The 27,533-nt window shown below is 38.1% G+C and overlaps 1 long non-coding RNA gene and 1 pseudogene across 1 annotated transcript, besides 4 other annotated features; one reads left to right on the plus strand and one right to left on the minus strand.

Annotated features, from left to right (window-relative positions):
- Window positions 12,398–13,057, minus strand: MTCO3P1 (MT-CO3 pseudogene 1; annotated as a pseudogene).
- Window positions 21,267–21,411: an enhancer, noted in NCBI's record as "145 bp 6:32682862 sequence used in MPRA reporter constructs". NCBI's record gives its function as "activates a minimal TATA-containing promoter with rs3892710 allelic activity by MPRAs in C283T melanocytes {active_cell/tissue: C283T}" and the evidence as "EXISTENCE:reporter gene assay evidence [ECO:0000049][PMID:36423637]".
- Window position 21,339: a transcriptional cis regulatory region, noted in NCBI's record as "rs3892710 or 6:32682862 MPRA-significant variant associated with a GWAS melanoma risk locus at 6p21.32". NCBI's record gives its function as "allelic transcriptional activity by MPRAs in C283T melanocytes {active_cell/tissue: C283T}" and the evidence as "EXISTENCE:reporter gene assay evidence [ECO:0000049][PMID:36423637]".
- Window positions 23,785–23,929: an enhancer, noted in NCBI's record as "145 bp 6:32685380 sequence used in MPRA reporter constructs". NCBI's record gives its function as "activates a minimal TATA-containing promoter with rs3998154 allelic activity by MPRAs in C283T melanocytes {active_cell/tissue: C283T}" and the evidence as "EXISTENCE:reporter gene assay evidence [ECO:0000049][PMID:36423637]".
- Window position 23,857: a transcriptional cis regulatory region, noted in NCBI's record as "rs3998154 or 6:32685380 MPRA-significant variant associated with a GWAS melanoma risk locus at 6p21.32". NCBI's record gives its function as "allelic transcriptional activity by MPRAs in C283T melanocytes {active_cell/tissue: C283T}" and the evidence as "EXISTENCE:reporter gene assay evidence [ECO:0000049][PMID:36423637]".
- On the plus strand, window positions 24,273–25,081 carry LOC102725019 (uncharacterized). Its single transcript, NR_190902.1, has 2 exons — window positions 24,273–24,401; window positions 24,844–25,081. It is a non-coding gene; the product is annotated as an uncharacterized LOC102725019 (long non-coding RNA).
- Window positions 25,082–27,533: the final 2,452 nt, after the last annotated feature.

Below are 27,533 nucleotides of genomic sequence, written 5' to 3' on the forward strand. Positions count from 1 at the left end.
CAAATTTAAAAGGAAGAAGTCAAATTATCCTTGTTTGCAGAGGATATGCTCCTATATTTATAAAAACTTAAAGACTCCACAAGAATACTATTAGAACTGATAAATTCAATAAAGTTCCAGGATAGAAAATCAGCACATAAAATCAGTAGAATTTCTATATGCCAATAGTGAACAATGTGAAAAAGAAATTTAAAAAGTAATTCTATTTAAAATAGCCACACACAAAATGAAATACCTAGGAATTAACTTGACCAATGAAGTGAAAAATCTCTATAATAAAAGAAATTGAGGAATAAGAAATCTCTATAATAAAAGAATTTTTTATAATAAATTCTGTATTCTATTATAATTCTATAATAAAGGAAATTGAGAATAAGAAATCTCTATAATACAAGAAATTTTTTTATAATAAAAAAAGGAAACATGTTCCATGTTCATGGCTTGGAAGAATCAATAGTGTTAAAATGTCCATACTACCCAAAGCAATCTACAGATTCAACACAATCACTATCAAACAACCAATGACATTTCTCACAGAAATGGAAAAAAATCTTAAAATTATATGGAACCACAAGACTCAGAATAGCTAAAGCCATCCTAAGCAAAAAGAATAAAACTAGAAGAATCACATTACTGACTTCAAATTATGCTACAGAGCTATGGTAACCAAAACAGCATGGTACTGGCATAAAAACAGACGTATAGACCAGTGGAATGGACTAGAGAACCCAGAAGCAAATCCACAAGCCTACAGTGCACTCATTTTTGACAAAAGTGCCAAAAACATACACTGGGGAAAAGACAGTCTCTGCAATAAGTGATGCTGGGAAAACTGGATATTCATATGCAGAAGAATAAAACTAGACTCGTTTCTCTCATCATATACAAAAATCAAATCAAAATGGATTAAGGACTTAAATCTAAGACCTCAAACCATGAAACTACTACAAGAAAACATTAGGGAAAATCTCCAGGACATTGGTCTAGGCAAAAATTTCCTGAGTGATACTCTACAAACACAAGCAACCAAAGCACCAATGGAGAAATGGGATTACATCAAGTTAAAAAGCTTCTGAACACAAAGGATACAATCAACAAAGTGAAGAGACAACCCACAGAATGGAAGAAAATATCTCCAAACTACCCATCTGATGAGGGATGAATAACCAGAATATATAAGGATTCAAACAACTCTATAGGAAAAAACTAATAATCCAATCAAAAGTTGGGCAAAAGATTTGAATAGATGTTTCTCAAAATAAGACATACAAATGACAAACAGGCATATGAAAAGGTGCTCAACATCATTGATCATCAGAGAAATGCAAATCAAAACTACAATGAGGTATCATCTCACTCCAGTTAAAAATGGCTGATATCGAAAAGACAGGCAATAGCAAATGCTGGGAAGGATGTGAAATAAAGAACACTTGGACACTATTGGTGGGAACGTAAATTAGTACAACTACTATGGAGAACAATTTGGAGGTTCTTCAAAAAACTAAAAATTGAGCTCTCATATGATCCAGCAATCCCACTGCTGGGTATACACTGAAAAGAAAAAAAAAGTCAGTATATCAAAGTATCCATCAACAGTTGAATGGATAAAGAAAATGTGGTACATATATATAATGGAGTACTATTCAGCCATAAAAAAGAATGAGATCCAGTCATTTGCAACAACAGGCATGGCAGTTCCATAAGTGAAATAAGCTAGGCACAGAAAGACAAATATCGCATGTTCTTAGTTATTTGTAGGATCTAACAATTAAAATGATTGGATTTATGAACATAGAGAGTAGAAGGATGATTACCAGAGGTTGGAAAGGTAGTGGGGGATCAGGGAGGGAGGGATATGGGGATGGTTAATGGGAAAAAATTGGAAAGAATGAACAAGATCTACTATTTGATAGCACAACAGGGTGACTATAGTAAATAGTAACTATACATTTAAAATAACTTCAAGAGTGTAACTGGATTGTTTGCAACTCAATGGATAAATGCTTGAGGGTATGGATGCCCATTCTTCATGATTTACTGATTTCACATTGCATCCTTTTTTTCAAAACATCTCATGTACCTGATACATATATACACTTACTATGTGTCCACAAATATTAGTAATAAACACAATTTAAACAAATTAGAGCCCACACATCCCATATACATACTTCCCATATTAAAGCCCAAACATCTCATATAAACACTTTATTATTTGAAATTCTTGGCCATGGAATATCGTATACTTTCATTTAATTTCTTCACCAACTCTATCCAAAAACAAAAAAAACCCTTCAATCCCCATATGCACAGATCTTTGTTAGTCACATCTGCTCATGGACTCAACAAACAGTAATTGAGTCCACTGACTGCATTTCGGAAATCCACACTCATGATCTTCCTCTGTATGTTAAATAAATCAGAGCCATCGTGAGAGCATGTCATCATGGGGAACACAAGTGCCTGAGTTAGATTGATCAAAAAGATAAAATTTGTTATCATAACAAAGGGCTAACTCACAGAAGCCAAAGAAGATATGTAAAAGGATTGATCTAAGGATAGTACACTGTGTGTTATACAAGAAATCCTCTGTATATTTCTTATCTCTAATTTTCTCTGCCTGTCATCTTCATTATTTTATATATCTCTGCTTTCAGATTCACATAGTACAAAATGGTCCCTGCCAAGATGTTCTCAATTCATCTCTCCTTTGCCCTAGGGCTTCTTTTCCTAGACCAGTCAGTTGCTTACTGTACACCACTAAAGTGTTGCCAGGGGATGAGTTCACATTACAGTACATGAACATAGTTACTCCTGATGTGAGCTTATGGAGGGGATGAGGGAGTGGTGCAGGTGATACACAAAGGATCTGCTGGTCTGCACATCAGACTCAATATTCTCTACTACAAGGAGACAGGATATAAGCCCAGTCCATCTGCTTCGTTCTTTGACAGTACATTTCATTCAAAATAAGTACAAGTGCAAAAATCTGTGGTAGTAAATCTACTGCACTTTTCTTATGTCTGACACTAATAACCCAAGAAAAACTATAATAAAATATTTCTGATTTTGAAATTAGCCTGCCACTGTTTGCATGGAAATTTACTACTGGTAAGCCCTTGTTTCTCTATCCCCTTACTCAGCTTTCTTCATTTGTATCTTCATAGCAAGAATCACCACCTAATACTGCATATCTGTATATTATGTGATTATTTTTTCTTTCCTGCTAGAATTAAAACTCATAAAGGTAGGGACATTTTTACCTTGCTGACTATTTTATCTGGAATAGTACATAGCACTTAGTAGGAGCTAAATAATTATTTGACAAATGAATGGATACATTAATTGATGAATTTTATGTCCAAATCTAGGCTGCTTTTGTTTACATAAACCTCTGTTTTCCACTAGTCACATTCTCTGCCTGCTACATGGAGAGAACCATTATTCAGGATTTCAGTTCTGCTCTAAACACTTGGATCCTTTCGCAATCAGGGATCTTCAATTTCTCCACTTGGTGTTTTGCTCAACAAATGAAAGTGCCTTTGAATATTCACATTTGGTCCTCCAAAACCACATCAGCTTTTAGAACAATGTTTCTAGACAATTTATTAGTAACCCTTCAAAGGTGTGCTCCCCAATTTTTATGAATGTGTAATTATATTTAAACTGAAATGACATAATGTTTCTGTGTCAAATATTGTAGAGAAAGTTGACCATCTTTGCATACGCTATTTGCCATTTGAGTTCTTCTGTGAATTGCCGGTTCACCTACTTTCCAACATTGCTATTAGGTTATTTAACTCTTTCTTATTGATTTGAGTAGTACTTTATTTCTTCCCTTGTTTAATATATGTATTTAAAGTATCTAAATATATTTCATGACTATGTTGTCCAACTTTTGTAATACATATCAACAAATATCTACCTGTTATATCCATTTTTAAGAAATACATAAAATGTAATAACTTGTACTTTTCTCACCCTTCTTTGCTTTTCTAAACAGTATTTATGTATTTCAACTTTTTAAAGTTTAAATATAATATACTTAAGTGTAGGTTGTTTTTGTTTTTTTAATCCTGCTTGGTATTCTCCGAGATTTGTAATCGGTGATTCGTTGTCTGTCATTAATTTTGGCAAGTTCTCACCTGGCTTCTACAACATCAGACTCTTGCGGCTTCCTCAGCACCCAGCTTTTGCAGTGTAGAGCAGCCAGCAACACCCAGCAGCTTCGTCAGGCATGCACACCCCCTTTAGCAGTTTTACAGCAGAGAGTGACCACCACCACCCCACTTCCATGAACCTTACAGGAACAGCTTTCCCAACACCCTAGAGGAAGGATTTCTGACAAGTCCCAGAGGGTGGATTACAGCAAACTACCGCTGGAGCAGCAGTTCAACAACTACCTCTCTGCCATTCAGTGAGCCATGGAAGTGCCTCCCTAACAAGGTCTGACCTCACCCTTGGAAAGAAAACTGGAGAAGGCTCCTTCTTGGGTGCTCTATCTTAACCTAGGTGATGGGTTAATATCGAGTGTCAACTTGATTGAATTGAAAGATGCAAAGTATTGTTCCTGGGTGTGTCTGTGAGGGTGTTGCCAAAGGAGATTAACATTTGAGTCAGTGGACTGGGAGAGGCAAGACCCACCCTCAATCTGGGTGGGCACCATCTAATCAGCTGCCAGCACCACTAGGATAAAAGCAGGCAGAGGACCGTAGAAGGACTAGACTAGCGGTCTTCCACCCTTCATTTTTCTCCCTTGCCAGGGGCTCTGAGACCTTCAACCACAGACTGAAGGCTGCACTGTCAGCTTCCCTACTTTTGAGGTTTTGGGACTCGGACTGGCTTCCTTGCTCCTCAGATTGCAGACGGTCTACTGTGGGACTTCACCTTGTGATCATGTGAGTCAACACGCTTTAATAAACTCCCCTTTATACATACATCTATCATATTAGTTCTATCCCTCTAGATAACCCTGACTAATACACTAGGGAAGTAGCCATTTCGTATTATATTATATTATGCACTATTATATCTGCCACTGCTATATTATTTAGAGTTCTCTTTACTTCTTTCTAGCCAATCTCTTATTACTCAGATCTCTTGTTAAGATTCGTATTTCTTTATATTGATCTTTCTCATTTTACATTACTGTGTGATTTCCTCTCTCTCCTGACTAGACCCATACTTATAAACCCATAAAATTTCATTCAGGCACGAATCTAGAATAAAAATTATTCTCAGACATGCAAAGATTAGAAAAATTTGCTTCCAGAATATCCTTTTTTGGATATTAACAGACGGTGTGTCGTAGCAAAATTAGGTAGTCAAAGCAAGTAAGAGGAAGATATCAGATACCTGAAACATTATCTTCTACCAAAGAAAACAATGAAGAGAATCCCAAGATGACATCTGCTCAGCAGTCCTGGAAATCATTTCTTTTAGATTGAAACTAGAGAACTAAGGGCACCAGGAAGTGGATAAACATGATAAGTATGATCCCATAAATTTTACAGTATTGTTGAGATATTCAAAACATCTGAGGATATGATTAAAAAGTAGACTACATATATGAGGGAAAAGAAATTGCAAATAGAATCTTCATAAAAATTAAAAGATGCCCAACAAAGGAAATATATTCTCAATAATGAGCACATACGTGTTTAAAAAATACCTGGTTACAAACAAACCATAAATACTATCGGGTTTGAAAATATTAAAGATAAATTATAAATGCCAGAAGTTGGGATATGAAATAAAGAAAAAAGTAGAGCAGGAAAGAATAGGGTTAGCAGTAGCTTCATCTACAAGGAGAAAACTCAAGAGATCTTGAATATAACTGACAGAATAATAGAGTACTGTGTTTAAAAATACAGGGATTGGCCGGGCGCGGTGGCTCACGCCTGTAATCCCAGCACTTTGGGAGGCCAAGGCGGGCGGATCACGAGGTCAGGAGATCGAGACCATCCTGGCTAACACGGTGAAACCCCATCTCTACTGAAAATACAAAAAAAAAAATTAGCCGGGCATGGTGGCGGGCGCCTGTAGTCCCAGCTACTCAGGAGGCTGAGGCAGGAGAATGGCGTGAACCCGGGAGGCGGAGCTTGCAGTGAGCCAGTCGCGCCACTGCACTCCAGCCTGGGGGACAGAGCGAGACTCTGTCTCAAAAATAAATAAATAAATAAATAAATAAATAAATAAATAAATAAATAAATAAATAAAAAATGCAGGGATTACCTACAGAGGAACTAAACATAGTAAGATAATAAAATCACAAGAAAGATGTCAGAGACCTAATTTTTGGTGGTTTAAATTATCTGGTTTCATAACAGGAAGTCAATGGATGTCTAAATTAATACCCCCACATACAAAAACATACGCATATTACTGTTAAAGTCATTGAACTGGGGATAATGACAGTGGAGTAAAGGAATGGCATGAAGGGCTCTTGTTTTCATTAAAATACATCTCTATTGTTTAATCTTCAAACTATATACTGATATCCCAATAAATTTAAAATAGTAATTGTAAAGTAAATATCATTCTTACTGAAATATCAAGAATGCTGCAGATGGTGGCGGAATGTTCAATGTGAAAAAGGATAGTGGCTTGCACTAGAATGACAGCAGTGAAGTTTGTTTTAAGCATGTAATTTTATAGTACCAATCTCTTACCTGTGAGAGCATGTAAAAGACTGAGCTCCTCAGTTCTCAAACAAAAGCAGACTTTAACTCCTGCTCCAGCCATGCTTCTTTGCTTCTCAAACATCCAAAACTGCATCTCAGATTGCATCATATTCTGAGCACATGGAAGGAAGAGTACGGGAAATAAGAGTGGCTGTGTTACCACCCTCAAGGAATCCTGACCCCTCAAATCCAGACCTGCCAAGGGGCAAGGAAAAAAGGGAAAGCGGCAGCTACCTTGAATTTCTAAAGTGCAATGTCCCCACCTACTGGTGAACATGACCCAGTTAACATCCCTACAGCTGTCCATGTCCTCCTAAAACAAGAACCTTGAACTTCTTCCAGTAGTATAGAATCCGTGTCCTTTAGCACAGTTCTACACCAAAAGATAAACAAAATATTAATCCAAAATTTTTACAATGCAATGAGGGTGTGGGAATGATAATTTTAAAACATGCCGCACAAGGTTAGTTTTAAAATAACGCCATCGTTAGCATTCCCATTCCCTACTATCTATCTACTCCTCACAGCTTCTGCTCAGATTGTCTTCTCTCCATTGTCTCTTCCATCTCCCTGTACAAACCTCCTCTCTTACACTGCCTTTCCTGCCAACACACTGCTTCCCCATGTGTTAAGTTGGCAGCCTTTTTTCCCTCTCATTGTTTTCTGGCTTCTGATATTTCAGATAAGAAATTTGATTCCAGTCTGGTTCTCGTCCTTTTATGTGTAAACTGTTTATTTCCTTCTTGGAAGCCAATAGATCATTTTTATTACCATTTTATTTTCTGATTGTGTAGTAAAAATTTTCATCCCTCCAGCTACAGAACTATTTGTATATTTTCATGATTCCACTTGATTCCTTTAAATTGCATGAATCTTATCTAGCCAGAGACTAAAGTCTTCCTTTCCTTCAGAAAAAAAAAATCTTCGATTTTTTATTGTATCCTATATTTTTTCTATTTTTCCGGCACACCTATTATACAGCAGTTGGAGATGGCTGTATAGATAGAACTTTCTCAACATATTTTCACAATTTTATGTGTTCCAAGGTAGTTAAAACAGGAATCTGATTTCTTTTGTACTTTCTTTCCCACCCTCCTATTTTTTTTAAGACTCAGAACCACTACTTGAACACTCTAATTGATAACTGCTTAGTTATTTCTCACCTGCCTTAAAGAGTGTTTCTTCATTATGCTCAAGAATGAGAGCAATTTAAAATGAAATCATTTTAACCTGTCTCCTCAGAGACAAGTTCTGTTGGCTTCTTTTTTTCCTATGTATTATGTGTTGGTAAAATTTTCCAGTTTCTTTGCATGTCTTGTAATTTTTGTTTAATATTGATATTTTACATAAATTCTGATTCCACAATCCCTAGGAGTAAGTGCTCTTGCTGTTTGTTGTTTGTGTTAGTGACTTGCTTGGGCTAGTTCTTCCAAGTCTGTTTCCCCCTAGTATGCAGCCTATGGTGTCTCTGCTAAGTTTGTTTAATAATTTTTGTTTTCATTATTAAGCCTGATTTCCTACAATCACCCCTGGTCATCATAGCTTAATGTCAGCCTATGATTGATGAAAGATTCTGCTTAAACAATTGAGTCAGTAAGGCTTCCACACTTTGCCATTGAACTGAGTGGGATGTGGGAAATGCTTTCAAAGTTCCGGGACTTTACAGGTATGTCCCAATTTTTACTTTCTGCCTTCACATGTCCTTATATTCAGCCAGGTCTCTCCTGAGCAGGCTTAACCAAGCTGATGCAGACAGCTTTCCACACCACTGGGGATAAATGAGATTTTAGCAAGGCTATTTTTGACTATCTCATTCTCTGGATCTCCCTGGTAAAATTCCTGACTGGCCTGCCATCATGACTTCAAGCTAGTTGAGATGTTAGCCTTCCATAATTATTTGCCCTGAGGTCTATGCTGTTTTCTACAAAATGCCAAGACGTTATTTTGAGGGTGTGTGTGTGTGTGTGTGTGTGTGTGTGCATGCATGTGCGTGAGCTCTTTTCCAAAAAATGTGTGTGAGCTCCCTCTGGCAGGTTAAGAAGAGCTGTCTAATCCCATGGCCTGTCCTCCCACACAGGTAGAAATTCTGCACCATAAGTTGAGGTGAAGGAAGTTGGTGAAAGCATACTCTGGCCAAAATAATACTGATTTTGCTGTTTTTATTAGGATTCAGTTTAGATTCTCTTAACTAAATGCTTCTCAATGTTCGTATCCTTTGGTCAATTTCCAGAGTCTTTAAATGATTGTTTTTGGCAACGTTGTCCAATGTTCTCACTGCTTTTTAGATTCGTTGAAATGTTTTGATGTCAATATATGTGGTATATTTTTATGTATTTTCTACGTGAATTTGAAAATAAGCTGTATATAGCATTTGGTACATACACACTTAGGATTATATGTCTTTTTGATGTATTGACTCTTTTTCATTATGAAAAATTTATCTCCAGTAATATTCCTTATTTGTAAAGTTTTCTTTGTCTGATATTAATGTAGCCACTCCAGCTTTCTTGCCCAGTGTATATTTTTTCATCCTTATATTTTTAACCTGTGTCTTCATACTTAAAATGCATTTCTTATGGACAGTGTATGGTCAAAAGTCTTGCTTATTTATCCAGTTTAGAAATATGCATTTAATGTAATTACTGAAGTACTGGATTTAAGTCTACCCCCTTGCTGCTTTTTGTTTTTGGTCCATCTGTTCTTTTTCTCTTATTCCTCTTTACTTGCCTTTCTTAGTATATTTTTCTCCCTCCTAATGGTAACTGAGTAGAAAGATGTCAGAACTTAGGTCTTTAAGATTTGTGGAACTTTAAAACAATTTTTATTTTATTTTATTTGAGGCAGAGTCTTGCTCTGTTGCCCAAACTGGAGTGCAGTGGCGCACTATTTGTAGAACTTGAGTGGAAAATCCTAAATAAGAATACCACAGAGGAGAGCCCAAAATTCTGCATTTGAAAGAAATTTGCATGCAGAATAGGGGCCCCTCTTTGAGTTTTCATGTTTTTTGGGGATTTTTCTCCTCAATAGCAACTAATTCTTTCGGCACCAAACTCCAACCTCCGTCTTCTCTTCCTGGTAAGACTGCATCTTTCTGCTTGAGCTTTGTTCTACCATCTACTGCTTTAGACTGAAAAGCACTCTCAGGGGAAACTCACAGTAAACGTTGAACTCACCTAGTTACTTTCCTTTTCTCAATATTTATCTCCTGATGTATTCTGCATGCTTCAAAAGATCTCCAATGATTGCAAATTTTTAAGTCATTTTTATAGATTTCATAATTTTTGTTTCTAGAAAGGCTAGACGTAGACATATGGTTTTTAATATAAGTAAGTAGCTATAGAAATAAATGTATAGATGTTTATGTGTATGTCCACAAATAGGATCTTAGACTTTTGACATTCCCATAGCAATGAGCACACTTAACACACAGATCTTGATCTAGCTTTTTAACCAGACTCTTCTAAAAGAACCCAGAGCTATGACAGATTCTAGAGCTTGAGAAAAAAAATAAAAGATGATCATAGAAAGTAAGGATATTTAAGAATGGTGGATACGGCCAGGCGCGGTGGCTCATGCCTGTAATCCCAGCACTTTGGGAGGCCGAGGCAGGCGGATCACGAGGTCAGGAGATCGACAACATCCTGGCTAACACGGTGAAACCCCGCCTCTACTAAAAAATACAAAAAAAAAAATTGCCGGGCGTGGTAGCGGGCGCCTGTAGTCCCAGCTACTTGGGAGGCTGAGGCAGGACAATGGGGTGAACCCTGAAGGCGGAGCTTGCCGTGAGCCGAGATCGCGCCACTGCACTCCAGCCTGGGCGACAGAAGCGAGATTCCGTCTCAAAAAAAAAAAAAAAAAAAAAAAAAAAAAGAATGATGGATATGTGTCAGGTGTCAGAGATAAGAATATGTTCAAAGAATGGTAGATACATGCTCTTTACACAGATAGGCAAAAAATAACCAGAAGAAAGAATGCATACCACAAATACCTAAATCACAATAAATTCAGTATGATCATATTAATAACAAAAAAAATCTTCATTAAAAATATGTTTTACCAGGAATAAAAATAAAACTTGAGTCATAATGATGGAAAAACCATAAGAAGAACATAACTTTTCTAAATATGTATGCATCTAATAATATGACTTAAAAATAAATGATACAAAAATTGACAGAAATGAAAATATAGATAAATTTGCAATCGTAATTAGAGATTTTTAAATGCTTCTCTCAATAATTGGTAAAAGAAATGAACAAAAAAATCAGGAAAATATATTAAACAGTGGAATAGCACTAATAATTAAATCAACCTAACTGACACTTATAAGACATTAGACTAGAATATGCAATGGCAAAATACATATTATTTCAGGTGTACATGAAATATCCATCAAGATGAACAACATACTGGATCATAAATTTAGTCTCAAGAAATTCAACAGTATGCAAACTGGGTAGGGTATGTTCTCTGACCAAAAAAGATAAAAATAAAAATACCTCAACTAAATTAGAAAGCAGCACCAAACTGATAACCTGGAAATCCCCTAAATATACAGAAATTAATCAACATACTACCAAATAAGCCATAGGTCTAAGAGGAAATTACAAAGAAAATTAGAGAATATTTTAAGTGAATGATCATGAAGTTCATTATATCAAAATGTATGAGATAAAGCTGAAAGAGTGCTTGAAGGGAAATTAGTTTCTTTAAATGTATACATCAGAACTGAAGAGAAGTTTAAAATCAATGGTGTGAGCTTCTACCTTAAGAAGGTAGAAAAAGGAAAGCAAACTAAATCTAAAGAAGATAGAAGGTAGAAAGAAGGAATTAAAAAGCAAAGATGTGGAACCAACCCAAATGCCCATCAGTGATAGACTGGATAAAGAAAATGTGGCACATATTCACCATGGAATACTATGCAGCCATAAAAAAGAATGAGTTCATGTCCTTTGCAGGGACATGGACGAAGCTGGAAACCATCATCCTCAGCAAACTAACACAGGAACAGAAAATCAAACACCGCATGTTCTCACTCATAAGTGGGAGTTGAACAATGAGAGTACATATCCAAGTCTCACATGTCTCAACAATGAGAACACACAAGGAGGGGAACATCACAAACCGGGGCCAGTTGGGGAGTGGAGGGAAAGAGAAGGGTGAGCATTGGACAAATACCTAATGCATGCAGGTCTTAAAACCCAGATGATGGATTGACAGGTGCAGCAAACCACCATAGCGCATGTATACCTATGTAACAAACCTGCATGTTGAGCACATGTATCCCAGAACTTAAAGTAAAATAAATAAAAAAAAGAAATGATTAAATGTGGCAAAGACAAATAAAAGAAAGAAGGAATTAATAAAAATGAAACCAGACAACAATGAAACAGAAAACCAGCAAACAGAAAAATTAACAAAGCTGGGCTGGGTGTGGTGGCTCACACCTGTAATCCCAGCACTTTGGGAGGATGAAGAGGGACGATCATTTGAAGCAATTCTCCTGCTTCAGCCTTCCCAAGTAGCTGGGATTATAGGCATGCGCCACCATGCCCGGCTAATTTTGTATTTTTAGTAGAGACGGGGTTTCTCCATGTTGGTCAGGCTGGTCTCGAACTCCCGACCTCAGGTGATCTGCCCACCTTGGCCTCCCAAAGTGCTGGGATTACAGGGATGAGCCACCATGCCGGGCCTAAAATGAAATTTTAATTGGCAAGAAGGCAGATGGTGAGAATTGTTGATCCAATAATAACATGAAGTCCATGAAAGCCTGTGGCTACAAAGAATGTTGAGCCATAGATTCCATCAGAGATAATAAAGCGGCCTCGAAATATTCTGAGACTTGTAGAAGAATGAAATAGACTCCTAAGAGGATCGTGGTAAGTACTGCTTGAATTATTTGTTTTTGGTTACCTTCTATTAGGCTGTGATGGGCTCAAGTAATTGAAACTCCTGATGCAAGTAATACAGACGTATTTAGGAGAGATACTTCTAAAGGGTTCAGGGGAAGAATACCTGTTGGGGGTCAATGTCCTCCTAATTCTGGGGTCGGTGCTAAACTGGAGTGATAGAATGCCCAGAAAAAAACCAGTGAAGAAGAATACTTCTGAGGTAATAAATAGGAGCATCCCGTATCGGAGGTCTTTTAGGACAATTGTTGTGTGGTGGCCTTGGAATATACTTTCTCGGACAATATCACGTCATCACTGATGTATAGTCAGTGTGTTGGTTAGTAGGCCTAAAGTTAAAAGAGTGGTAGAATTAAAGTGAAATCATATGGCCAGGCCAGATGTTATTAGGAGAGCCGAGAGAGCTCCTGTTAGTGGTCAAGGGCTAGGTACAGCTATATGGTAGGCAAGTGTTTGGTGGGTCATTATGTATTATCATGCAAATAAAGACTTACTAATAGTGTGAAGACATAAGCTTGAATAAGAGCAACAGCAAACTCGAGAATAGTTAGTAGAATTAGAATAATAAGAGATACTGAAGTTGCGGAGACACTAATAATTGATAATATTAGCACTGCACTGCGACTGTGGTCGGCGATTATCCCACTTCCAGGGCCAATCAGGCTAACAAATTATTTCAAACCTATTACAACTCCCTACAATGCTTCAAGCCCCAAGGCCCCGGCATTGGAGGGCCTATAACTAAACACACCCCCCTTTTACAATAAGCCTCACTTTGCTTTTCAGCTTCTGAAGGAAATTTCCCTGTAGGATCCTTCACACCTAACCAATGCAACTGCACTATCATTATTAAACACCCCTCTAACCATCAGACTAACCAAGCTGATTACCAAGTTATCACCTGAAGCAAATGGAACGTTTCTGCATCTGGCTTGTTTTACAGCCTATCCCTTAACCAATGCCTCTGAACTAACTTGTGCTGTCCCTGGTTCCTACCTTTTTCCATGGCTCAATATCAATGATGCAACATCCGATCACATTAAACGTGTAAAAAACAACTCTTGCTATATCTCTACTATAGTGGATGTCTCCCTGGCCTCCTCCTTGTCCATCTGGAGTAAGGAACTGCAGGAAAGAAACAACATCCAATCTTTAACACACTTATTCTCTTTCCATATCTCTGCCTGTATTTACGATGAAGGCTTGTTCTTTTTGTGTGGCACCAACACATATCTTTGTCTCCCCACCAACCGGACCGGAACCTGTTCTCTAGTTTATCTTTCTCCTTCCATTGGACTAGCTCCTCCTAATCAACCTTTGTCTATCCCATCCATCCAATATGTTAGGAAAAGGAGAGCCATCCACATCATTCCTTAATGGCTGCCTTGGGTATAACCTCTGGACTTAGAGAGGGAGCAGGTGGATTAGCCACATACTTTAAGGTTCTTTCAACAGAACTACAGGGATCTCTAGAAGATATAGCCTGAAGCCTTGTAAGAGTCCAAGACCAACTAGACTCCTTAGCTGGTGCAGTCCTCCAGAACAGACAGAGACTAGATCTTATAATGGTTGAAAGAGAGGGCATCTGCCTCTAACTGGGTGAGGAAAGTTGTTTCTATCTCAACCAGTCGGGCGTAGTAAGAGATGCTGCCGAAAAACTTAAAGAAAGGGCTGAAAAGCTAAGGGAATACCAACACAACCAAATAGATTCTTAGTTTGGGAACAAAATCATAGCATGAGTCACCCCATTCCTGGGCCCTCTCCTAATGATATGCCTAGGACTAACTTTCTTACCCTGCCTAATTAATCTTTTCCAAAGATTTTTAACCAACAGGATCATGGCCATTTCACAGACAACTACCCAAAAACATCTACAGACGGCATTACTCCTACAGTCAATCTGAGACCAGAAAACTCTCCACACCCCCCTCAGCAGGAATTAGCCAGAAAGAACACACCATCCTCATCCTTTTATAACTATAGGATCTGGATTGACAGAGCAGGAGCATCGCCATTTTGGACATGCACCACCATTTTAAAGTTCCCCTTGATCAAAAGCCACCTAAATCCAACCCAAAGGGCATCAGCCTAATGGCTAATGGCAGCATGACCTTAAACCACAAATGATACCTCTGCCCAGAAACATTCCAACCCTGAGATAAACCCCTCTCCAACCAGAGACATACCAGCCCCAAGATAACCTCCCCTCTGACCGGAGAGATGCCAACCCCAAGATAACCTCCCCTCCAACCAGAGACATTCCAACCCCACAATAAACTTCTTCTCCACACAGAAACATTCAAGCCTTTCGCCCCAAACCCTTAAATACTCTTAGTCTGTAAGAGAGAGGGCTCCTGACTGAAATCAGCCAGAAGCCCTCTCAGGTTTATTCTCCAAAATAAACCTGTCTTTGACTGTTGAGCCACTTTTTGTGTTTCTTTCCTCTTTCTTTAACTCTTTTTTTTTTTTTATGCATTTATGTTTTATATACACTTTATACATATAGCAGCCTGAAGGTAATTTTTTTTTTTTCAGGTTGTTTTTTTTTTTTGTTTTTTTTTTGTTTTTTTTTTTTTAATTATACTCTAAGTTTTAGGGTACATGTGCACATTGTGCAGGTTAGTTACATATGTATACATGTGCCATGCTGGTGCGCTGCACCCACTAATGTGTCATCTAGCATTAGGTATATCTCCCAATGCTATCCCTCCCCCCTCCCCCGACCCCACCACAGTCCCCAGAGTGTGATATTCCCCTTCCTGTGTCCATGTGATCTCATTGTTCAATTCCCACCTATGAGTGAGAATACGCGGTGTTTGGTTTTTTGTTCTTGCGATAGTTTACTGAGAATGATGGTTTCCAATTTCATCCATGTCCCTACAAAGGATATGAACTCATCACTTTTTATGGCTGCATAACACTGTGTGTATCACTATTTGGATTAACATAAATGAGAAAGGAGAGATAGAGACCGTGAACTAGGTAAATGGATGTGCATCATTTGGTGGTAGTAAAAACACAATCTAAATTTACTCCGTGCTCAAGCTCATAAATTATGATTATTGACAACATTACAATTTAGGCTGTTTTTATTTTGTGGAACTTTGTAGATTAACTAAGATTTCATTAATATAGTATTTTATATTTACATGCAATGTAATCCTTTAGTAACCACAAAGTAGGTTGTTGAGAGGACCCATGATGTAATACATATAAAACACTTAGACCTATTTTATGGCATACATAGGCCTCAAATAATGTTATCTAAGGGTATGACTTATATAATCTGTACTTGGGACTCCAGTTTCAATGCCCAAACTCTGGGAACCAAGTGTGGCTTACACTGAACATCATTTTTGCTTAAACTTGTTAGTCTTATACATCTTTACACCAATTCTAAGCATTAAGCTTTTTCTTTATTTTCTTTCTTTCTTTTCCTTCTTTATTTCTCTCTCTCTCTCTTTCTTTCTTTCTCTCTCTCTCTTTCTTTCTTTCTCTTTCTTTCTTCCTTCCTTCCTTCCTTCCTTCCTTCCTTCCTTCCTTCCTTCCTTCTCTCCTTAATTGTGGGAAAATATAAATAAACTAAAACTCATCATTTTCACCTTTTTAAGTGTACAGTTCAGTGGCATTAAATATATTCACACTATTGTACACAATAACCACCACAGATCTCCAGAACTTTTCCTCATCCCAAACTGGAACTCTGTAACCATAAACAACTCCTTATTCCTTCCTCCTCCCAGCCACTAGTGACCACCATTCTACTTTCTGTCTCTGTTTGATCACTCAAGGTGGTCTCATAAGGTAGAATCATACAATATCTGCCTTTTTTGTGACTGGCTTATTTCACTTCACATAATGTCTTTACATTTCATCTGAGTTATAGCATATTTTCAGAATTTCCTTCCTTTTTAAGACTGAATAATATTCCATTGTATGTTTATACCACATTTTGCTTTTCCAGGCATCCATTGATGGAGATTTGTTTGTTTGTTTGTTTCACCTTTTGGCTACCATTAACGTTTGTGCTATGAACATGGGTATACTAATGTATGTTCAAGTCTCTCCTTTCAGTTTTTTTGGGTATATGGCCAGAAGTGGAATCATGGCATCATATGGTAATTGTATGTTTAAAGTTTTTGAGTTATGACTCTACCTTTTTCCACAACAGCTGCATCATTTTACATTCCCGCCAGCAAGGCACAAGGGTTCCAATTTCTCCACATCCACAGCAACACTTATATTCTCTTTTTTCCTTTTGAATAATAGCCATCCTAACGTGTGTATGCACAACTACACATAAAAAAAGTGGTGAATCTCGTAAAAGCAATATTTATCAAAGGAAAGAAACAAATCCAATACATTATTTTATTTATATAAAATTTAAGACCATACACACATTTTTAAAAAGTAAATAATTAGCACAAAATCAGAGTAATGTTTTCCTCCAAGGGAAAGATGGTAGGTAGAAGGTGCACACACAGGGCTTCTGGGAAGCTGGATAAGCTTTTTAGTCTGTGTCATTAATTATTTATTAAACTCTATATACATGTTTATGCAACTCTGTGCTTAAGTTATGTGTCAGTCTAAAAGAAACGCTACTATTAAATCCTCAATTATGAAAATCTTACTCTTCAATCATGAGCTGAAGAATAGCAATACAAGTTGTTGATTGCTCTTCTGGATAGAAATCCAGGATAAGAAATACAAATTGAATTTACTCTGAGAAATTTATCTTTCAAGACATATGAGGTATTTAAATTTAAGAGAGGTGAAGATCCTTTTTACTAATATAAATTTAAGATCCAATTCCCTTCAAAGATGTGGACTTTAGGGAAAAAATTAATTGTTGTTAAGAATTATGGTGATTCTGCTCCATAGCAACTTCATTAAAGGACCTAGTCTAAGTTCAAGATTAAAAGGTTATATGAGGCATATGTGTATGAGCAGGATAGAGAAAAATAGCAAAAATATCTTCTTTTGAACCATGGGACTCTTTGTGAAGAAGTTTTATGGTGGCAAAGCCTCAACAAGAACATCACCAGTGATGTTTTGTGGCAAGTTATATATATCAAAGTTAGTAAAGATTGGAAATTGAATGTGGTAGGCCTCTTGTGTATGACACAAAGCAAGACAATGAGGAAGAAGTAGGTATTTCATGGAAAAACAAAATACCCTGAGAAGAAAATAAAGAGAGAGGGGAAGTGAATCATTGGTATAGTGAGTTACAGAAAGTGGCAAAATAGAGAATTAAAAATAATAAATAAGGCTTTTGTATCCTGCAGCTCAGAAGGATATGTTTGGTCCAGATTTCACCCCTGCAGATAAGCATTGAAAAAGGCATGAATGTGAAAGTGTGGTTTTGAGTAGCTTAATCAAAATTGTTTTCTCTTGAATTTTACATTGACTAAAACAAATCTGGATCTAAGCAAATTGTTTTATATTGTGTTGTGAAATTGTCAAAGATAAAAACTCGTACACTTGTATAGAGCCCTTATCATGAATGGAGCTTGCAGGACTGGAAGTTGCTCTGGGTGAATCAGCGAGTGAGTGGTGAGTGAATGAAGGTCTAGGCCTTTATTGTACACCATTAAGTATTTCGTAAACACTGTACACAGCCTACACTAAATTACAGAAAAAAAGTCTTTCTTCAATGATGAATTAACCTTAGTTTAGTGTACCCTTTTTACTTTATAAACTTTCTGAATTATTATAAACTTTTTGACTCATGTAATAACACTTAGCTTAAAACACAAACACACTTAGAGTTATACAAATGTATTTTCTTTCTCTATATCTTTATTGTTTAAACTTTTTTCTAAACCTTTTACTTTTTATACTTTTTTTTTTCTAAACAGTTAAGGTTCAAACACACACGTTAGCTCAGGCCTACACAGGGTCAGGATCATCAATATCATTGTCTTGCACTTTCCCATTTTGTCCCATTGGAAGGCCTTTAGGGGCAATAACACAAACACACATGGAGCTGTCACTTCCTATGATAACGATGTTTTCTTCAGGAATACCTCCTTAGGGATCTACCTGAGGCTGTTTTATGGTTAATTTTCTTTTTATAAGGAAGAGTACACTCTAAAATAACAATAAAATGCACTTAGCTGGTGCAGTCCTCCGAAACAAAGACTAGATCTTATAATGGTTGAAAAAAGAGGGCGTCTATATAGTGTATAGTATAGTATATACATATACCAGTACCGTAGTCATTTGTTGTCATTATTGAGTATTGTGTACTGTACATAATTGTATTGCTATACTTTTATGTGACTGGCAGCACAGGAGATTTGTTTGCGCCAGCATCACCACAAACTTGTGAGTAATGCATTATGCTACAATGTTACAATGGCTATTATATAGGGATAGGAAATTTTCAGCTCCATTATAATCTCGTGATGACCAACTTATATATGTTCCTTCCTTGACTGAACTGTCGTTATGTGGTGCATGATTGTATTACACTGTGAGCTCTGGGTCCCATTAAAATTCTAGGAGAAGGTTGAATTTTTTGTTTTAGCAAGAACTAATCTCATCAAGTTTAGAATGCAAGCTGTATCTCGCTTTCTGTGCGCCGTAGTTCTAACGTCATTATAGTTTTCAAAGACTTTGCCATGCTGTTCGTGCCTGCCCTGTGCCTGGGCCTCTCAGCCACTAGTCTGGCACTAGGACTGTGATATTTGTATCATAGTTCAGCTCCTAATGGCTTTGATATGCTGGTGTGAAACTGTCCCCCTCGTGCGGCTTGGGGAGCCCAAGACCCTGAGAGTTATGATGGTTCATGTATAGAATTAGGGATCCCTTTCTCTCACTCTCTCCTCTGAGATTTTTCCCACACTCTCCAGGTCCCATAGGTCCCTCTTACCGGTTCCTCTGGCCAGAAAGGTTGGTTTCTCTCAAAGTATTGTCATGTGATTCTGCACAACTGGGGCTTCCCTTGAGGCAAAGTGGGAAGAGAAAATTGAGCAAAAATATAAAGGGAAATACCCCATATTCCTTAGGCCACAGGGTTCCTTTTCCCTAGTTCTTTTGGGATGTTTCTTTCAGAGTTTTTGATGGTTCCACCACAGCAGCCTTAGTACAGCTTCCTGATTCTGACCACACTCAGGGAAGAACTAGAAGTGAAAAAAGAAGTAAAGTTCCAAAAAAGGAATATTGCTCCACACACTCTCTGGAGACCCCCTTTGCAATCTGTACAGAAAGAGGAGGTGTCTCTTGGAGTTTCTTCTCTCTGCTCTCACTGCACACTACATGTCTGGAGTTACCTTCAAGTCAAAGCCAGGAGACAAAAGAGGAAAAACCCTAGGAACTCACTCCCTTACTATTATTTCTCCAAGTTCTGACTTCCCTCCCTAATATTCATGCTATTTTGTACTTTTCAAGGTCCACAGATAGCTGCCTTTTATATTCTGCCTGATGTTTCCCATTATAATTAGTGTAAGATACAGACTATAGTGGGCTTATTCCAACTTGGCCGTCACAGAAAGATCCTCTTCAGCTTTGTTGCTGAAGGATGTTTTTCTGATTTTAGAATTCTAGGTTTGTGTTAGGTGTAGAAGTTTTCTTAGCGTATTTTAAGGTTTCATTCCATTTTCCTCCAGATTCCAAAGTTTCTATTGAAAGTCAGCCTTAACCTTTTTTGTTCTTTTTTTCCAAAGACAAGACACTTTCGTCTCTGGCTGATTTAAACATTTTCTCTTTATCTTTGGTTTTGAGCAATTTATTATTTTTTTTTACATATGGTTTTATTTCACTAGTCTATGATTGAGGTTGATAAGTTTCTTGTATCTGTGTTTTGACATCGTTAATCAGTTTTGGAAAATTTTCTGCCATTATCTTTTTGTTTTCTCTGCTGCACTCTTTATCCTTTATTTTTATGTACAATTGTAAGTATATTTGACCATTAGATAATGCCTACATGTCTCTGATGCTGATATCTTTCTTCTTCATTTTATCTTGTGCTATGCTTCAGAGTAGATGCTTTCTATTAAACTGTCTTCAAGTTAACTACTACTGCATTTGCCTGTGACCAGTCTGCTGTTAAATTCACCCATTAAGTTTTAATTTTAGATGATGTACTCTTATTTCTTTTATTTAGATTCCGTATCTAAAAGATTCCACATTCATATTCTTTTTTAGATTGTAAATCTTTTTCTTTACTATATATTCCTTGATATTTATGACTATATGGTTAAATAGAGTTAATTTAAAGCTCTTTTGTGCTAAGTGATTAAGTCTAGAAAGAGCTTTGTGTCTCCCAAAAAATTGTTGGTGAGGCTGTTGGCATTCAGAGTATCATGGGATCAAATATATAAAAAGCTCACAACGTTTTTTATTCAGCTGTATTGGTAAAACTGCCACCAGTCTGGACTGAAAGAGACTGAGGTTGTTTAAAATGTAAAAGGGCAATGGATCTGCAACTCTCTATGTAAAAGAAACAGGCTGAGAAAGTTGTTCAAAGTGCCGATCATCCTATGTGCTCTTTAAAGGTGGCCAAGGAGGGAAACAGAAAAGGAAGTACTTTTCAAAGGGAAGAGCACAGAATTCTGAGGACAGGTAGACTAATGAGAAACTCCCAAGGAAAGGAGTCAGGGGCTAACCAAGGAATATTGTCCACCCCTAGAGGGGATGTGCAAGGCAGCATTTGTTCAGTGGAATTTCAGAATTGCCAGGGATCAGTGACTGTTCAGTCCCCCATTCTTTCCGTTTTTGAATGGGCATGTTTACTATCATTATCCTGACCCAGTTTCAGCACTGTGTATTGAGTGCTGATGGAAAGACAACTTTGTTTCTATTGTTGTGGCTTGTATGTCTTAGAATTAACGAAAGAGGAGGCCGGGCGCAGTGGCTCAGGCCTGTAATTCCAGCACTTTGGGAGGCTGAGGCAGGTGGATCATGAGGTCAGGAGATGGAGACCATCCTGGCTAACACGGTGAAACCGTGTGTCTCTACTAAAAATACAAAAAATAAGCCAGGTATGGTGGCACGCGCCTGTAGTCCCAGCTATTCAGGAGGCTGAGGCAGGAGAATCACTTGAACCCAGAAGGCAGAGGTTGTGGTGAGCCGAGGTGGCGCCACTGCACTCAGTCGACAGAGTGAGACTCCATCTCAAAACAAACAAAAAAAAAAAAAAAGAAAGAAAAAGAAAGAAAGAAAGAAAGAAAAAGAAAGAAAGAGAAAGAAAGAGGAAAGAAACACACGAAAAGGTGGCTCACCAGTCACGGCACACTTATTTTAGAGAAAACAAACCTGAGAGGCGCCTTCTGGCCGAGTTAGGTCAGAGGCACGCTCTCTTATAGACTAAGTTTTTTAAGGATTCAGAGTGGGAGAGTTTATCCAAGGCTTGGACTGCTTCTGTGTCTCTTTGTTGTGCTTATCTAGGAGGGAGAGTTGTGTGTCTGTTCCCATACATCTTTTTTGCAGCTGCAGGCATATCCCCAGAGTCTGCTTTTAGCTTCCCTATCTTAGTGCACCTGAAGGGAAAGGAATGTGCTTATTAAGGCCCACTGTTTTAGGGCCCATTGTATGGGGGTGAAGTTTGGCAGTTACCCAGGGGACCTTCCCCCAACCTTTCTCTGTGCCCAAACTCTCTTATCTGTGTTTTACTGTCTGCTCTTTCTGGCTATTTGTAGTTAGAAGAGAAGTGATTTCCTTGAAATGCATGAGGCTAGAAAGGGAGCTGGAATTTAAAGTGGCGGTGTTTGTCCGAGATGACAGGGCTCCAGCTCTATCAGTATGTTTCTGGATTAAGGAGAACTGCATTCTGACCTGCATCCTGATTGTGAGATTTTGAACTTGATGGCTGATGCCATGATTGCATGAGACTTCTGGTGATCCCAGATTAGGGGTAAGCATATTTTTCATATTGGAAGAATATGAAAAATTGTAGCAATAAAAGTGGACTCTAATAGATTATGATGATGATCCTAATTCATCATCCCTCCCTATATCCACGCCCTTTGCAATCTAACTTTACTATGCTCTCCCATTATGGATGGGTGACTTGAATTGCCTCTCAACATTAGGCCTAACCATGTGTTCCTCTACAGCCAAGGAGTTATTAGCAAATGTCACACACTCTGGGCCTTGAAATTGGCGTATGTATTGGAGCTAACATTTTGCTTGCTTCTGCATTGCCATAAGGACATTTCTAGGCAAGTCCACCGGCCCTAAGAAGAGGATGAGAGGCATGTGAAGAAGAGTCCACCTTGGATACATAGGTGAGCTTGGCCAAGGTTAGCAGTGCCACCTAGCTGACCCAGACATATAAGCATATTGTTATCTGCCACTGGTGATTTGTGTTGTTTGTAATGCAGCATTGTTGTGACAACAGATGACTAATACACTAACTAATGTACCTTTTAAAATGTTGTCTATGATCTGTTCCTGCACCACTAAAATATACGTCCCATGAGGACAGGAATAATTTTTTCTGCCTTATTTCTGTTGTATCTTTAGTACCTCCAACACTTTCTGGCACAAAGCAGTTTTCTCAAATATATATATACACACATATGTATATATGTATATATATATTTAAACAGAGTCTCATTCTGCTGCCCAGGCTGGAGTGCAGTGGTGCAATCTCATTTCACTGCAACCTCTGCCTCCCAGGTTCAAGTGATTCTCCTGCCTCAGCCTCCCAAGTAGCTGGGATTACAAGCATGCACCACAACACCTGGCTAATTTTTGTATTTTTAGTAGAGACAGGGTTTCACCATGTTGGCCAGGCTGGTCTCGAACTCCTGACCTCAGGTGATCTGCCTGCCTCAGCCTCCCAAAGTGCTGGGATTACAGGTGTGAGCCACCACGCCCAGCCAAAAATATTTTTAGTGAATAATGAATTTCAAATTTTAAAAACCTTCTTATGAAAAGACCTCTTGGAGAGTTTAATGTACATACATATTCCAGAGTTTGGACAATTCAGTAGATTGGTACCTGGGGTATGCTGAAGAATGCTGAAGTCCAAGAGTCAACTTAGCTACATGTTTTTGAAACAGAAAAAATTCCCTTGTTCCCCTTGCAGGGAGTGCGATGTGGCTCTCTTCTCCAGTGCCCGCTGCTCAGACCTCCAGGGGAGCATACAGATGGTCAGGCTGTGAGGCTCTGATCCCACAGCAGTGTCTGGGGGTGAATGTTTACAGCTCCTGAAGCCCCAGTGGGTGTGTTCCTCTGCTGATGTGCTCTCTCTCAACGTCCAGCAGCTTCTGTCCCTGCCTTGCTAGGGTCTCAGGTTTTTATAGGCAGAGGATGGGGCATGGCAGGCCAGAGTGGTCTTGGGAAATGCAACATTTGGACAGGGAATGCCTGTTCTCACCTAGGTCCGTGGGGATGGAGCCCTAGCCAGGGACCATACCCTCCTCTACCCAGCACTTCTGCTCCCTGCTTCCCTATCATTTAAAGGGACCACACTCTTGCCTTCCTAGCACTCACGTACCATTTTCAAGCAGAGAAAAGAACAAGTAGCTACACTAGGATTTGCCTGACTTCCAGAAGGAAAGAGATTCATCTTTCCTTGGCAATCGACGTAGACCAAAAGTAAGGGAAAGGTCTGGGGTCTGCTTGTCTTAGTATCTCAAGGCAGCCTCCAAGAGAAACAGATCATAGAAGAAAGAGGCTGCTAGTATTCCAGAGTGCCTAGTGACTGAGAATTCCATGAGAATGGAGATGCAGTAGCCCTCACCGGGCTCTGAACTAGGGGAGTGTGGATTCTCAAAGAATTCATGAAAATGTTCACAATGGAGTCTTCTTATGCATCTGTTTTCCCTAGAGCATTCAATTCAAGCTCATGAAATATCAGGCAAGTAAAAACTGTCCTCTTCTGCTCTCCATGCCTCAACTCGCAGGGGTCTGAAACTATATCAGGTAGAAGAAATAGAAGCACAAGCTGTAGAAACAAAAGAAGCTAATTTTGCACCTTCACTGTTTGTGAGCTTCTCATCTGCAACACTCTTGAATAGGCAAGAGTGTGAGGCCTCCGTTTTGAATAAAATATAGAAATTTGACTATTGAATGGGACTAATTGAATACCTTTCTTTTTTTACTTAAACATTATCAGAGAGGTTATGAAGCCTTCCTGAATGCTCATTCAAGGTAAGGAATTGGCTAACCCCAAAGAACACATTGAAAAGAAAAAATGATGATAGGATTAAATTAAATATGTTTTATTACATTGCATCAGTTTAGATGTTCAATATATTCTTTTTTAATAAAGAAAAGTTTATTTGGCTAATGATTTTCAGGTTGTACAAGAAGCATGGCACCAGCATCTGCATCTGATGAGGACCTCAGGGTGCTTCCACTTGTGGCGGAAGAAGGGGAGCCAGCATGTGCAGATACCACACGGCGAGAGATGAAGGAAGAGAAAGAGGAGGAAGGTTCCAGGCTCTTTTTAACAATCAGACCTCACAGGAACTAATAGTGTGAGAAGATGTTTAACATATTCTAATAAGATATTCCTAATAAACTGCCATGAGATAACTGCTGTATTAGTCTGTTGTCACGCTTCTAATAAAGACATATCCAATACTGGGTAAATTATAAAGGAAAGAGGTTTAATGGACGCATAGTTCCACATGGCTGGGGAGGCCTCACAATCATGGTGGGAGGCAAAGGAGAAGCAAAAGTATATCTTACATGACAGCAGGCAAGAGAGAGCTTGTTCAGGGGAACTCCCATTTACAAAACCATCAGATCTTGTGAGACTATTACAAGAACAGCATGGGAAAGTCCCACTCCCCTGATTCAATTACTTCTGACTGGAACCCTCCCAAGTCACGTGGGAATTATGGGAACTGCAGTTCAAGATGAGATTTGGGTGCGGACACAGCCAAACCATATAAACTGCAGTTTATTTTTTAATTATGACTCATATCATAAAGAAAAAGGGTTGCTCCAATAATCTGTACCCCATTTCATATTCATAAGGAAAAGATTCTTTTATTGGCTAATTGTTCATGTTTAAATAAAAATCTTATGATTTTACAAGGTTTTGCCTTTTACACTTGATGCTGAAATCAAGAAGTCTTTTAAAAAATAATTTTCCTTTAAACTTTGAGTACAGCTTTTCACTAGGATTGCCAACATGATGAAACGAAGATTTCTCTTATTTAAAGAATATATTAAAGTGTTTATTATTAATTACTCTTTTAATGTAAAGATTTTTGTCTGTTATGGTAATTTGACTTGTTTTGGTTTGGTTTCCGTTTGATACTGAGGATGAAGGGAAATTAGAGCAGAATTGCTTATTTACATTATTTCAAACTTCCAACCATGAAAGGAAAAGGTTTGGGATCTTGTTTGTAAAGCCAAGTGTGTGTGTGTGTGTGTGTGTGTGTGTGTGTGTGTGTGTATGTGTGTGTGTGTGTGTGTTTGAAAGGGGCTTATTTACACTGGGTTTTACTTTGGTATGGAGGTAACTCTTATCCAAGTGTGGTTGGTTCGAAGGACAAGTAGGGATGATACGAGGCTGCTTGGCACTAAGGATTAGGTAGAGTTGGGGCTGAGTCATGGTTGTGTGGAAAGCTAGGATCATGGTTGGGGAAGGAAGGAGGCTAAATCTGCTGCACAATTTGAAACTAGGGCATGATAGTGTGGCAAAGAAGAGATAGAGCTTGAAATAGAAGTAGTTACTTATTTAGCATGTGTATTAATTACTATATGATTAGTTCAGTGTCATCTGACTAAAATGGAGATTAATGTACTAATGATTAATTTATATGGGTTTTGTTTATATTATTATATAATATAAGCTATGTAATAATCTAAGTTAGAGAGACAATGTTTTATGAGACAAATAAGGTTGCTGCTATCAAAGAAATCAAATAAATGAAGAAAGATTATCATATAATAATGAGTGCTCTCTGAGGAGAAAAACAAAAGTAATTGGGAGTGATTTGAGGGAACTTCTTTAGGTTGAGTGACTAGAAATGGTTATTCTAGAAATACTCTATTTGAAAAGAGACCTGAATGCTAAGAAAAAGCCAGCTATTCAAAATCCATAGCAAACCACTCCACACGGCAAGAACATAAGTGAAAATTGCTAAGGAAGGAACAAATCTGCATGTTAGAGAAACAGATAGGGAGTTAGTGTACTTAAGTTTATTGAGAGACAAAAAGAATGTTATATTGTGGAATAAGTAAAACCATAGAGAAAAACACATTGTAGAAGAGCTACTTGGATTGCCCTGTGATTTTCTGGAAACTTCCTGGCCACAGCAGACTGAAAGGGACATTGTGGTAATGCTGGCTTCTCTAGACTGAACCAAAGCCTATGTCTTGAAAGATTAAAAAGAGATAATGAGCTTATTACTCATTAAAGAAAGCAAGCCATAAAAATAGCTTAAAATATGGAATAAGCGACAGGCATGTCAATTATTTCTCCTTGGCACTGGATTAACAAAAATTTGTTGTTGGTGGTGGTGGTATATTAAGTAGAAAAGGTCTATTGGGCCTAAAAATTATTGACATGTACATTATCTATTCTGTAATGATGCCATCCCTCCTAGTTTCCATTGCAGAGGATTGGATCTGGAAATTGTGTTACTAAGAAAAATGCAGGAGAAGGTTTGAGTGTCCCTATTCCCATATGTAGTGGATTGTCACGAAACATACCTCTCAACCTCTTCCGGTGCATTTCTCCTGTACTGCAAAAGATGTGCAACTGAAAAGAACGTTTCCCGGATAGCATTTGATGTCATTTAGATTTAGCCAATCAGAGGCATTCTGGTAAAGTTTGGACATGCTGAGGGGCTTTTTTGACCTGAAAAGGCACCAGTGTAGGGGTGCCTTATTTTCTGTGCCAGAATTAGGAGAGATTTTCATGTCTGATAACTGACTTCATGGATATAAAGAGGCAGCATGCAGGGTGTCTGTTACTGGTGCAGATTTTAGCAGATGATTTTGGGGGCTTACTAAATGGAGGAGCTTCCCG

This window comes from Homo sapiens, chromosome 6 (assembly GCF_000001405.40).
Source record: "Homo sapiens chromosome 6, GRCh38.p14 Primary Assembly".
NCBI lineage: Eukaryota > Metazoa > Chordata > Mammalia > Primates > Hominidae > Homo > Homo sapiens.